The 12909-nt window shown below is 43.3% G+C and overlaps 2 pseudogenes; both read right to left on the reverse strand.

Moving 5' to 3' along the window:
* Positions 1–786: 786 nt before the first annotated feature.
* Positions 787–1905, reverse strand: SLC25A15P1 (solute carrier family 25 member 15 pseudogene 1; annotated as a pseudogene).
* PARP4P1 (poly(ADP-ribose) polymerase family member 4 pseudogene 1) overlaps positions 9010–12909 on the reverse strand; it is a 39988-nt pseudogene continuing 36088 nt past the window's right edge.

Here is a 12909-nt window from a genome sequence, read left to right on the forward strand (position 1 = left end):
GTTGTTGAAGTCTCCTGCTGTTATTGTGTGTCTAAATCTTTTTGTAGGCCAAGAAAAACTTGTTTTATGAATTTGGGTGCTCCAATGTTGTGTGTGTAGATATTTAGCCTACGTCTTCTGGTTGAATTGTGCCCTTTATCATAAGGAATGCTCTTCTTTGTCCTTAATTTTTATTGGTTAAAAATATGTCTTATTTGGCCAGGTGCAGTGGCTCATGCCTGTAATCCCAGCACTTTGGGAGGCCGAGGCGGGTGGATCACGAAGTCAGGAGTTCGAGGCCAGCCTGACCAACATGGTGAAATCCTGTCTGTACTAAAAATACAAAAAATAGCCAGGTGTGGTAGTGCACCCCTGTAATCCCACTTACTCAGGAGGCTGAGGCAGGAGAATTGCTTGAACCCAGGAAGCAGAGGTTGCAGTGAGCCGAGACTGCACCACTGTACTCCAGACTGACTAGAGAGTGAGATTCCATATTTTAAAAAAAATGTCAACCACTTAGAATAGTACACACATTAAGCAGATCCTACATCTAGAATGTGTTAAGCAACCATTTGTAAGCATCTTCATGAGAAACGATCACCTCTGGGTTTTTCTGGTAATATCTGAAATAAACATGGAACCAAACTGTATTTCCCTCAGCACATAACTGTCCAAATTGCATGTGCAAGTAGAGGTTTATGTAAAAGCCCTGACAGAACTGTACTCAGTCTTTTGAATTAGGTGCATAAGTCTACTGACCACTCTCTATTTTACCAAGGGAAAGAGCAGTGACTTCTCTATTTCAGTACAATTATGGGCAGAAATGACATGATGCAAAATAGAGGTTCTTCCATACAATTTGAGATGTAGGGTATAAGGGAAGACAAAAAAGCAAAATTCCCAAGAAATCAGAATAACTTCACACTGGTCTTGTACTACAAGAAACCATGAGATGAACTGTAGTCCTCAAACACCTGTGCTTGGCTCAGGCCCTCCAAGACACTTCAGTATGCTTCCAACTGGCTCATCATCAACTTCCTGGTATATTCGTAGGCCAAAAAGAGTGCTCCATTGTCAGGGAATGCTCGAATCATAGTAGGTTTCAGTCCAGAATATAAGGCCATTATTCCTAGAAGACAAAAGGGCAAGCGAAGACTGCAACAATCCCTCCTTTGGGGACACCCACACAGCTGCATAGCACAGGTATATTTACACATGTAAATCCAGACAAGAGTGCTAAAAACCAAGTCATGGAAGGACGCATTCCCAGCTTTCCCTAAATAGACCAACAGAAACAAGGACAAGTATCAGGTCTCGTGGTGAAAGTGATGGATGTTCAGGTAACACACCCCAATTCCATGCTTGGTTAACTCAGTATATGGATGGGGCAGCATTGAGGCCTGAGATGGCCAGATAGATGCAACCGTGGAGATAGAGGTGGCCACAGCTTTGCAGCTTCACCTGGGCAGTGGCAAGAGCACCAACCTTGAGGTTGGAGACTGGTTTATAATATTAGTACTGCACAGGGTGGTTATGAAGATTGAATTAGATAAGGGAGGCATAAGTACTTTGTAAAACTTCACATGTTACACAAATTTAAGGGAGGATTACTATGAGTAATAGACAAGTTATCTGTGCTCTATTTGGGACACAAAGTTTCTGTGTTACTGTTTTCTTTCCTTTTACAATCAAAACAGAGAAGTTCACATCTCAGATTTTAAGATGTGTACTAGATGCTGGAAAAACAGGTGTTTATTCACCTTCATTTTTCACAACATTTATAAAGGTTCTGATAAATCCTGCCTGTTTTCCAGATATGGAAAGAACTTGAATTCTGGATTTGTTACAATCCACTGGATATACCGCAAGCCAGAGGCAAATCCCGCCAACTCCCTCCACCACTTAACATCAAAGGGACAGGGCCTAGAGGAAAAAAAAAATAGTAAATGGTATTTTATCTCAAGAACACCTGATGTGACGTTTCCAGAGGCCAATGTAGTAATGGCTGCAGGTAGGTGAAAATAGAAATGCTAATGCTGTAGAAGAGTTATTTGTGGAAACTGTCAAAGCTCTTGTTCCCAGGCTCTAAAAACACAAGGTTTTGTTTGGTAGCCCAGGTCTACGCCTGGGTCTTGCCAAGTACAAGAAGCTCTAGTGAGGGTTGTATTTCGTTTGGTCACTGAGGTGTTGAGGGCTGGCCCACACAAACCAGCAGGCCTCCAGCTGGGTGGCAACCCCTTATGGTGGGGAGAAGTCAGGCCAAACACAATCTTCATCTTTTTTTCTTTTTTCAACTTTCTCATTCTTAAATATTTTAATAGCCCCGATTCTTCCTTTACCATGTTTTTATTAAACATAGCAGTTAAGTTGGAAGTTTGTCTAATCCCAGAATAGATTCAAAATGCTGAGGGAGATGGTAATAACAGGTAAATGCATTTGCATTCACGGCAGTGGGGTGTGATGGTGTTTGGTCCCTGCAGGTATGGTTTCTGTGGATTCTCTGCTCTTTGTGCTCTCCTCCCCACATTGGTGGCTCCATCTGGCACAGGGAAGCTTCTGGATGCCAGAAGGTAACATGTTGGCAGGCAGTTGATAGCACCCCACCCTCCAGGCTGGATAATTTCCTTAGGACAGGGGTTGAAGCAGTACATCCCAAATTTTCTTACTGGAATAAAGTTTGTTAATTTTTGTAGATCTATTTTAGGAGAGAAGAAATTCAGAAATGAGTTTCCCAATTGGGGAATCACCTATAAATAATCTTGAAATAAGCTTAAAACTTGGTAATCTCAGTAGCGTTTTGAGAGCAGTGAATACCATAGTTCTTTGTAGCTTATCATGTTTAGTTGGTTAGTATGACTGCATGTGATGTTTGCCTCACATAAGTGAATGAGTTTTTCTTCCCTGATTCCCTGTCTTCTCTCCCCATTTTGTCCTTTGCTAAGGAAACTGAGCTGAACTGAAGTCCAGGTCTTCTGTAATAGAGTGTCTCTCCTTCAACAGGGAACAACACTACAGTTGCCCGTGGTTTTGCTTCTGTTCAGTCTCCATGGTGTCATGCCACACTCTCCTGGTTTGTGCCCTGCTCGTTTCTTTACTGCCTTTCTGCCTGCCCTTTTTGTGCTGGTAGGTCATCCCATTCATGCTCAGCCTTCCTCACTGTCTACACGGTCTTCTGGGGCAATCGTATCCAGTCCCAAGCCTTTTAAAAAAACAAGCTATACCCATCCTGGTGGAATTCCTGCCTATAAAAGGGCACACCTTCAGACCTCCAGGCATCTCCAGCCAACACTGCTATGCACACGGAACCGAATTCAGTTGTGTGGGACCTGCAGCTGCGATTGGGTTTCAAACTCCTATTGCTGATGATCAAGTAAAAATATGAATGTGCTGGATTAAATGCTTTATTCAGCTTATCTGCATCTAGGTTATCTAAATTACACACCCACTTAAAACATTCTGTCACCTCTTCTCTTGGAATAATTAATTATTTTAATGTAATTCAGATCTCATTTTATCCTAGCCCAGCAGTACCTGGGAGAGAATGACTCAATCATAGTAAAATCATATTAAATTATATTCCACTGATTCAGAATTGGAGATAATCTGGCAATTAAAGTGAGAAGTGTGTCATTCCTCTCCTGGAAGAAATGAACAGTAATGATGGTATCACAGAGATCATACATATAAGGGCCCAATACATGTTCAAAACATGCCCACCAGCAACTGCCTTACATACCTTGCTCCCAAACATACTGTTACAATTTCTATCTTTCAAACTAACTGTAAATTACAAATGTGGTACCCAAATACCTGTATGCACATAAATAGGAAAAGGTAAACTCTTTTTTTTTTTTAGGTGGATTCTCACTCTGTCACCCAGGCTGGAGTGTAATGGCACAATCTTCACTCACTTCAACCTCTGCCTTCTGGGTTCGAGCAATTCTCCTGCCTCAGCCTCCCAAGTAACTGGGATTACAGGCGTGTACCACCACATCTGGCTAATTTTTGTATTTTTAGTGGAGACAGGATTTTCCCATATTGGCCAGGCTGGTCTTGAACTCCTGACCTCAAGTGATCCACCCGCCTCGGCCTCCCTAAGTGCTGAGATTACAGGCTTGAGCAACCTTGCCAAGCCAAAAGTAAACTTTTTAATTCCTTCACAATATGTTCTAGATCTTTGACAGACTGAAAGACATAAAATGTCAAAATGTGAGACTCTCTCATGTGGCTAAACACCCTCCTACTGAAGAGACAGAACTGAGCCCAAGAGCATTCACGTGCTGGTGAGAGGTGGTGGCCAGGGGCAGGCAGATGGTTGCACCACTCTCAGGGTCAGCATCCTCCCCAGTGTGGCACGGGGTAGGGGAGGGGGTAAGGGGCCTGGGCGGCTGTAGCCTAAAGGCACGCAGAGGGCAAGAGACTACTTGGTGGGCCCCTGCCAACCTTCAGTTCACTGAGCGTCTGGTGCCAGGACACTCCATGTGGACTCTGCCCTGGGAGAAGTGCCCTTGCCCAGTGCTCTTTATCAGTGTCTGTGACACGCTGTCTCCAGTCCTCCTCAATAGCATACCTTGGCCAACATTTGGCTCATGGAAAAACACTTTGCTCTTCACTGAACAGTTTCTTTTTCACAACTGAGCAAATGACTGATGAGGTGACCACACTCATGACCATACTCATCTGTTGTTGGTGGGTGGGGGGTGGACTGGATGAGGACAGCATTCGGCAACACTCCTTCTAGCCTCCCCACTGTAAAGTGCCGCAATTACTATGAGAGTCCTGTGGGAGGCCAGGGTAGTCCAGGGTTTCCCTTTGGGCCATCAGCATTCCAACCACTCCTCCTACTTCTGGCCCCTGGAGAACTAAATCACCACCATGCACTTCCCATTCCACCTGTGCCTCAGCCCGAGGGTCCTGCTCTTCCTGCATATTCAAGCTGATCTTTCTAGGGAGTAGCCTGCACTGTGCCAACACTACCCCCTTTTCACAGGCAGCACCTCCCTGTGCTGGGGAGCCTCAGTCTGCTCTTGGGCTCAGGCCCCTAGGCTCAGGTTAGCTGACATTCCCAGGAAATCCTACAACTTCTTTCCTTTCATGGCTCTAAGACACAGTCCATTATCAGTCTCATTGTAAAAGACGTTTCTAAAGAGTGTCCTCCTTTCTTTCCCAACACTAGCGGGGACAGTAAGTGATGTTTCCTGGGAGATGCTATGGTGTTATTTTTGCACTACAAGGGCTCTGAAGACTGCCAGGCTTGAAGTGAAGAACAATATCACCTGCCTATCCCAGCCAGGTGACAACAGACAAGGGGCTTCATCTCTGATCTGTTTTCCAGCTGTACTGGGCACATTCCTCCCCTCACCCTGACTCAGAAGGTGTTAGCAATAATGGACACTCCTCTACCTTCTGCCACCCTCTGAACAATACCACACTTCCATCAAATGGATTCATCCCACATGTAAAGCTCATCACTTCTAGAGGGAGAAAGGTAATGTTTTCATAACACTTTCATTTGATCTCATTTAGAAGGTACTTGAGGAATAGAGAAGACTGGGTTTTCTCTGGGATTATTCTTAGGCGTTTCTTAATGACTGGGACATGTTCTGAAGAATGTGTCGTTACACAATTTCATCATTGTGCTATCATAGAACATACACACCTGACCCTAGATGGCATAGCCTACTCCACACCCAGGCTGTACAGTATGGCCTGTTGCTCAAGGCTACACACGTGTACAGCATGTTACTGTACTGGATACTGTAGGCAACTGTAACACAGTGGTATTTGTGTATCTAAATGTATATAAACACAGAAAAGTTATAGTAAAAGATGGTATAATCTCATGGGACCACCATCAGATACACCATCCATCACCAACAGAAACATGCTTATGAGGCACAGGACTGTAACTGCAGCCCCTGCCATGAGGTCAATGGCAGCCTGGATAGGGGGATTGGACTTCATGTTTGCCCACTCTTCTGCTGGTCTTATGGAAGGCAGCTCTCTGGAGCTTATGACAGGCGCCACATATCCCTGGGGGGAGGCAAGATTTCACCATTAGTCCAAGTCTGCAGCCTCCCATTCTCTAGGCCTGCAGCCACATTACTGGACCTAAACTTCTGGGAGCCATGAACTGGGCTCTACATTGTTCCAAAGGAAAGGGGCTCAAGGTATCAGTGCAGCTTAGCAATTGTCCCTTAGAAAGCTCACAGATCAAAAACCTCCCTGTGTATCAATTCTACAGCCACCAGCAGCATTTCAACTGACCTTTCTGAAAACTGAAAAAATGAACACCAAATAAGTAAGCCAACCATTGATGTACTAACCAACAGCAGGATGTTTTTTAAAGGCCTGCACTGAGCCATCAACTGAACAGGCTCAGTTCTAAATCAGACAGCAGCCTGTGCTGGGTGCCTAAGGGGATGTCACAAGACAGTAGGTCTGGAAAGAAGCAGCCAGGCAGCCAAGAATGGGAGCTGCACCCCAGGATCACAAACACCTTGGTGAATGCCTGCTCTACCTGCAGTGTGGTCACTTTGGCCTCTACAGGTGGAAGTCTTCATCTGTACAAGGTGAATAATAAAAATATTATAAAACAAAGGCAGTCACAAATAGCCACATTGGTGTTGAGGTGATCAAACTGAACACCAGACCATGGGGGCTACAAAGTCTGGTGGAGTCAAAGGAATGAGACAAGACAAGCTAATAGTACATAAAGTAGGTCCAGGGGGCCAACACTAGTATAGAGGCTGTGAAGGCCGTGAACTCTGGGAGCCACACCATTTATTGGTGATTAAACAAAGAAGCAGATGATGAGGACATGCTGGTCGAAAGGAAGCAGTCACATCAAGTGTTTAGTTTATAGCTGTGTCAGTCTAGCATTTTCTTTGAAGCATAAGGAACATGTTCTGCCACTCGAGATAATGTTGAACATTTCCTTCTACCTCAAGATACAATTAATTTGTGATCCTGGGAGAGCAAGAAGCAAGGAGCCAGCAAGTCTGGACACATTCCAGAGGCCACGAGGGGTTTTATGTCCTGATTCCTGGATTCCATCCAAGCCACGAGGGGTTTTATGCCCTGGGCTTAGGTTGTAGTGTGGTGGGGCAGCCTTCCACCCTTAAGCACAGAACCTGGTGTTCCACAGGCCACAAGAAGTTTTAAACTCTGTAGTGAGGATATGTTCCAAGGCTCTTTTCATATTATGTCAGACTAGCAAGTCTTGCCTCAGCTTTTCTCCCAACAATTGGACTGATGAGTTGCTCTACTGGGCACAAGCATCATGGGTTCTTAAAACAAGGCCCTGGACAAGCACCAAATATGTTCCTATCACCACATTCCACTAGCCCTTCAACTATAAACATGCACAGGAGTCACCTGGGGGCCTTGCTAAATAAAATGCAGCTTCTGATTCAATAGTCTCAAACAGGATCAGAGATTCTGCCTCTCTTGTTGAGTTCCCAAGTAAGGCAGACCATGCCAGTCCACAGACTCACACTTTGAGATACAGCACCTGGGCCATTGTGTTCTAATGTGCTTGATAACCTGGAGCACCTATTAAATATCCAAGTTGCCAGGACTTTCTTCTGGAAATCTTAATTCAGTATGTTTTGTTTGGAGCCTTGGACATTTGGGAAAATTAGAATTTCTTTCTCTCCCTTTAGACAAAAGTCAACTACTGCTGAGGCATGTGCTTAATGTTGACTAAAACATCCAACTCAACAACCAATCCTGTATAATTTTCAAACTCTGTCAATAACTTGCTGGGTCTAACCTGCATAACCTGGCTGCATGACGGGTGAAGAAATGCACTCAGACACAGGTATCCCATGAAAGAGTGGGGTAGGGGACTGGGCAGCTCCCAGACACTGAGGAGGGTGCTGTAAAGAGTCAGCAGTCACAGCCCTGTCAGGCTGGGGCTCCAGGCATTTATTCAGCACAGTTTTAATGACAAAGGTCTCAAGTAAACACCACACCTCTAGAGGGAAATTAACATTGCTGACCTCCTGAGTAGAGAGCAGTCATGCACCTGCAAATGATCAAAGGTCTGTTTTAGGACCACATGAGAAAACAAGCTATTTAGATAAACTCCTCTACATTCCTATGTATCTACGCCCTAAGCTTTTAAGAGAATTCAGCTGCCTTCACCCAAATCTTTTACTGAAGCTATGTAAACCTGCCAGCCTTCCAAGAAGTTTTGTGTCTATTTCCTACAACTTAATTTTTATAATTTCTCCCACCATCCTGACAGATCCCCTACAAAAGGCCATATTTCTTCTGAGCTTGCTCAGTCCAGCTGAGCCAGCTTTCCACTTGACTCCTGAATGTGCGAAGGACGCAGGTTCCCAGGACCATCCAGAAGCATCTCTCATCACCTTAAAGCTCTGAAACACTGGCTGGGTGCAGAGGATCACGCAAGTAATTCCAACACATTCAGAGGCTGAGGTGGGAGGATTGCTTGAGGCCAAGAATTCAAGACCAGCCTAGGCAGCATAGCAAGACCCCATCTCTACAAAAAGTACACCCCAAAATTAGCTGGATGTGGTGGCACTTGCCTATAGTCTCAATTAATTAGGAGGCTGAGGCAGGATTATTATTTGAGCCCAGGAGTTTGAGGCTGCAGTGGGGTATGATCGCACCACCACACTCCAGCCTGGGAGACAGATTGAGACCATCTCTAAAACAACAACAACAGGCCAGGTGCAGTGGCTTATGCCTGTAATCCCAGCAATTTGGGAGGCCGAGGCGGGTGGATCACCTGAGATCAGGAGTTCGAGACCAGCCTGGGCAACCTGGTGAAATCCTGTCTCTACTAAACATACAAAAAATTAGCAGGGCATGGTGGCACACACCTGTAATCCCAGCTACTCTGGAGGCTGAGGCAGGAGCATTGCTTGTACCCAGGAGGCAGAAATTGCAGTGAGCTGAGATCACGCCATTGCACTCCAGTCTGAGCAACAAGAGCAAAACTTTGTCTCAAAAAATATATATAAAAAATAAAATAACAAAAAATGAGACAGAAAACTGAAATATTTTAAGTTTCACTATTGCTTGTTAGTTGATTAAAGTAGTTCTGCTTCCACTTTATTTTTAAAGACACTAATTGCTACACTGAATAAAACCTTAATGGAGTTTCATTATAAGTATCTATTATCATTTGATAATTTTCTACATAGAAGCATGCAAAAAGTTTAAAATTCAGTTTCATTTGACTTAGCCTTGACTGTAATGAAGGACTCTATGAAGAGGGGACACAGTGTTTATGGGCTGGAGTCCCTGTAACTGCTTGGTGGCCGAGTCCCAGTCATTCCCCAGTTCAAGCCATGGGCAGATAGATGGGTACTGTCCTTCAGTTCTTCTTACCCATTCACTTGCTTTCTTTATTGCTTCAAAAGCCCAGGGAATATTCTTAGATTAAAAAAAATAAATGTTTCAGATTTCAGAACATAACATGTGAAATGTAATGTGGTACTAAACCCATCACATTATATCAGACAAAATGATTCTGCCAAAAATTAAGATATTTAATAAAAGCAGTTTTCCTTGACATCTTACAGAAGTTCTTCTACTTGTCTGATGTTGAGCTTATGCACTGCATTGTCAAATGTCCTGTGCCCTCCATTCGTGGTTTCCACATGCCTCCAGGCATCCCTGCTGCCTACAGGACAGCTAAGGTTCCAGCCTCTCTATAGTTGTTTATGGTTGTCCCCTTGCCACTCTTCTCAGTTTAAATCCTATCCATTCTTCACGCACAAACTCAAGTAGTATTTCACAAACGAGACTTCTGTTTCTCTCTCCTTCCTACTGTACTGACTTGATTAGGTACCTTCAGAATATCTGACAGTCCCCCATGAAACTGGCATATGTTCAGCTGTGTCTCATAAGCCAGGAAAAACTTGGTAGACTAAGCATATCGAGTCAAGTCTGTGTCCACTAAATGTTGTCAAATATTTGAGACTGTTGAATATTCAAGTCTATTCAACACTCAGAAAAATTCTGGGGTTGTTCATTAATATTAATTAGCTACTTCCTCATTTGTTCTGTCATCTGCTAGAACTTGTCAGTGAACAAGTGGCAACATACACCAGAGTTCTTCAGAAAATTCTATGGGGAAACTTAATATTTTGAAAATTCTCTCCCTGTTCCTGATTTTTCCCTGTGAACTGGGAAAGGGCTATCAGTATAGCATGATGGTGAAGAGCTGGGTTTGATCCTGACTCTGCAATCACATGATATTGGCCATGTGATACTGTGTGGCTTTCATTCAACACTGGGAATCTCAGTTTCCTCAATTATGAGAATAACATGAGGTCTTATGGGTTTGTGGTGGAAATCAACAAAGCTTATAAATTTAATGTGCTTACTAATCCGTGGTACACAGTAGGCACTCAATAAATGTTTGGTGAATGTCATGATAGAATGAACATACTAAATAAGAAGCATGTCCAAAGTGTTTAAAAGACCGACATTTCCTGGTAAATGTTCGTCTACTGACTGTTACTGACTGCTGAAAACAACAAAACTGGCTTTGAATATTTTCACTAATTCAGCTGGCCTCCTTTAGTCCAGTGGCCTCTACACTTTTTGGTTCACATTCCACTAGTAAGAAAATCTTGTGCCTACACCTCCAGGTAATGTACTCCTGCATCAATATTACGTACATCCCAAAATAGAAAATACAGAAAAAAGTTTCAAACATGCAATAAACAGGAAATAAAAAATATTTAATTTTTTTTTTTTTTGACACGGAATCTCACTTTGTTTCCAGGCTGGAGTGCTGTAGCACAATCTCAGCTCACTGCAACCTTGTGATCCCCCCGCCTCAGCCTTCAAAAGTGCTGGGATTATAGGCGTGAGCCACCACGCCTGGCCTAACATCGTATTGTCTTACGTACTCAAGTGCCAGCAAACCATTTTGCTAGCACCATAGTAATAATGTAGTAAGAGCTATATGCTTGAATATACTTGATCAATTTTGAAAATCTTGCTTTAATGCTTTGTGGTATTACAGTTCAAAAACAGGTTCAAAGATTATACTTGTTCTAACAGCTATAATATTACTAATCAGGAATAATATAAATAGAATAAATACCTCTTTGGATGTGCCTATTAAGTCAAATACTAATTTTTTAGTCCCATCTCCTAGCTGTTCAAAGTGTTTTTTCTTTGATATTTATTTAATTAATTCTCTTGGCAAGTGGCACTGGTTTATTTTCACTTGAGGCCAGGAGTTTGAGATCAGCCTGGCCACCATGGCGAAACATCGTCTCTACTAAAAATACAAAAATTAGCTGGGCACAGTGGTGTGCACCTGTAATCCCAGCTACTCGGAAGGCTGAGGCACGAGAATTGCTGGTCTTAAACTCCTGGACTTGGTCTTGCTGGGCTGAAGTGATCAACCTGGGAGGCAGAGGTTGCAGTGAGCTGAGATCATGCCACTGCGCTCCAGCCTGGGCAACAGAAGGAGACCCTGCCTCAATAAATAAATAAATAAATAAATCCAAAAAGAAAACTCCCTAAATAGAAAAAAGAATAAATTCTCATCTTTCTTGGCAAACTAATGAGAAGGTATTGCTTTTTAAAAAACAGAAGTATAAATTACATATAGTAAATTATGATTCTCCTTTTTTTTTTTTCAGACAGCATCTTTCTTTGTTGCCCCAGCTGGAATGCAGTGGCACAATCACAACTCACTGCAGCTTCGGCCTCCTGGGCTCAAGCAATACCCCCCCCGCCCAACTCAGCTTCCTGAGTAGTCACACACTACCACACTCGGGTAATTTTTACATTTTTTTGTAGACACAGGGTCTTGCTATGTGGTCAAGGCTGGTCTTTGAACTCCTGGAAGCAAGCAAGCCTCCTGCCTTGGCCTCCCAAAGTGCTGGGATTCCAGGTGTGAGCCACTGTGCCCAGCAATGCCTGGGTAATTAAAAAAGTTTTTTTGTAGAGACGGGGGTCTCATTGGTTACTTAGGCTGACCTTAAACTCCTGGGCTTGATCTTGCTGGGCTCAAGTGCTCCTCCTGTCTCAGCCTCCCAAAGTGCGTGGATTACAGGCATGAGCCAATGTGCCTAGCCCAGGACTTCCTGAACACCTGTTTTGTGTTCAAGAACTTTTTCTTAGTCATTACACTTAAAAAATATTTATCAGGCCGGGCACAGTGGCTCACGCCTGTAATCCCAGCACTTTGGGAGGCCGAGGTGAGTGGATCACGAGGTCGGGCAATCGAGACCATCCTAGCTAACACGGTGAAACCTCGTCTCTACTAAAAATACAAACAAATTAGTCAGGCATGGTGGCGGATGCCTGTAGTCCCAGCTACTTGGGAGGCTGAGGAAGGAGAATGGTGTGAACCCAGGAGGCAGAGCTTGCAGTGAGCCAAAATTGCACCACTGCACTCCAGCCTGGGTGACAGAGCAAGACTCTGTCTCAAAAAAAAAAAATTGTTATCAATATTTCTTTAAATATCAAAAAATATCCAGGTAGTGTTTAATTTTCCCTGTCTCGTTTTTTTAAATGCAGTGGGTTTTGTTCAAACCAGGATCTAAACAAGGTCTACCCTTGCTTTTGGTTGACATGTCTCTAAAGGATTATTTATAGGTTCTGCTCCTCAACCTTTTTTTTATCTTGCCATTTATTTCCCCACATTCCAGACTTTGCTGACTGCATTTGCATGGAGTCACATAACATGTTCCTCTATTCTCTGATCTAATTCAAGTTTAGAAATCAAGGGGTTTCATTTAACTTATTTGATTTTATACATATTAGTTTCTATCAATATTAGTATCTACCTTCCAAAATAACAAATCAAAAGTGTTATTAACACCATGGCTACTCCCAGTGAGATTTCTTTGTAATATTTTTTAATCCTTAGGCACTATCCCACTAGGGGATTTGACATAATTTGATACAGTCAAATTATTAACTATG

This window comes from Homo sapiens, chromosome Y, assembly GCF_000001405.40.
Source record: "Homo sapiens chromosome Y, GRCh38.p14 Primary Assembly".
In the NCBI taxonomy this organism is placed as follows: Eukaryota; Metazoa; Chordata; class Mammalia; order Primates; family Hominidae; genus Homo; species Homo sapiens.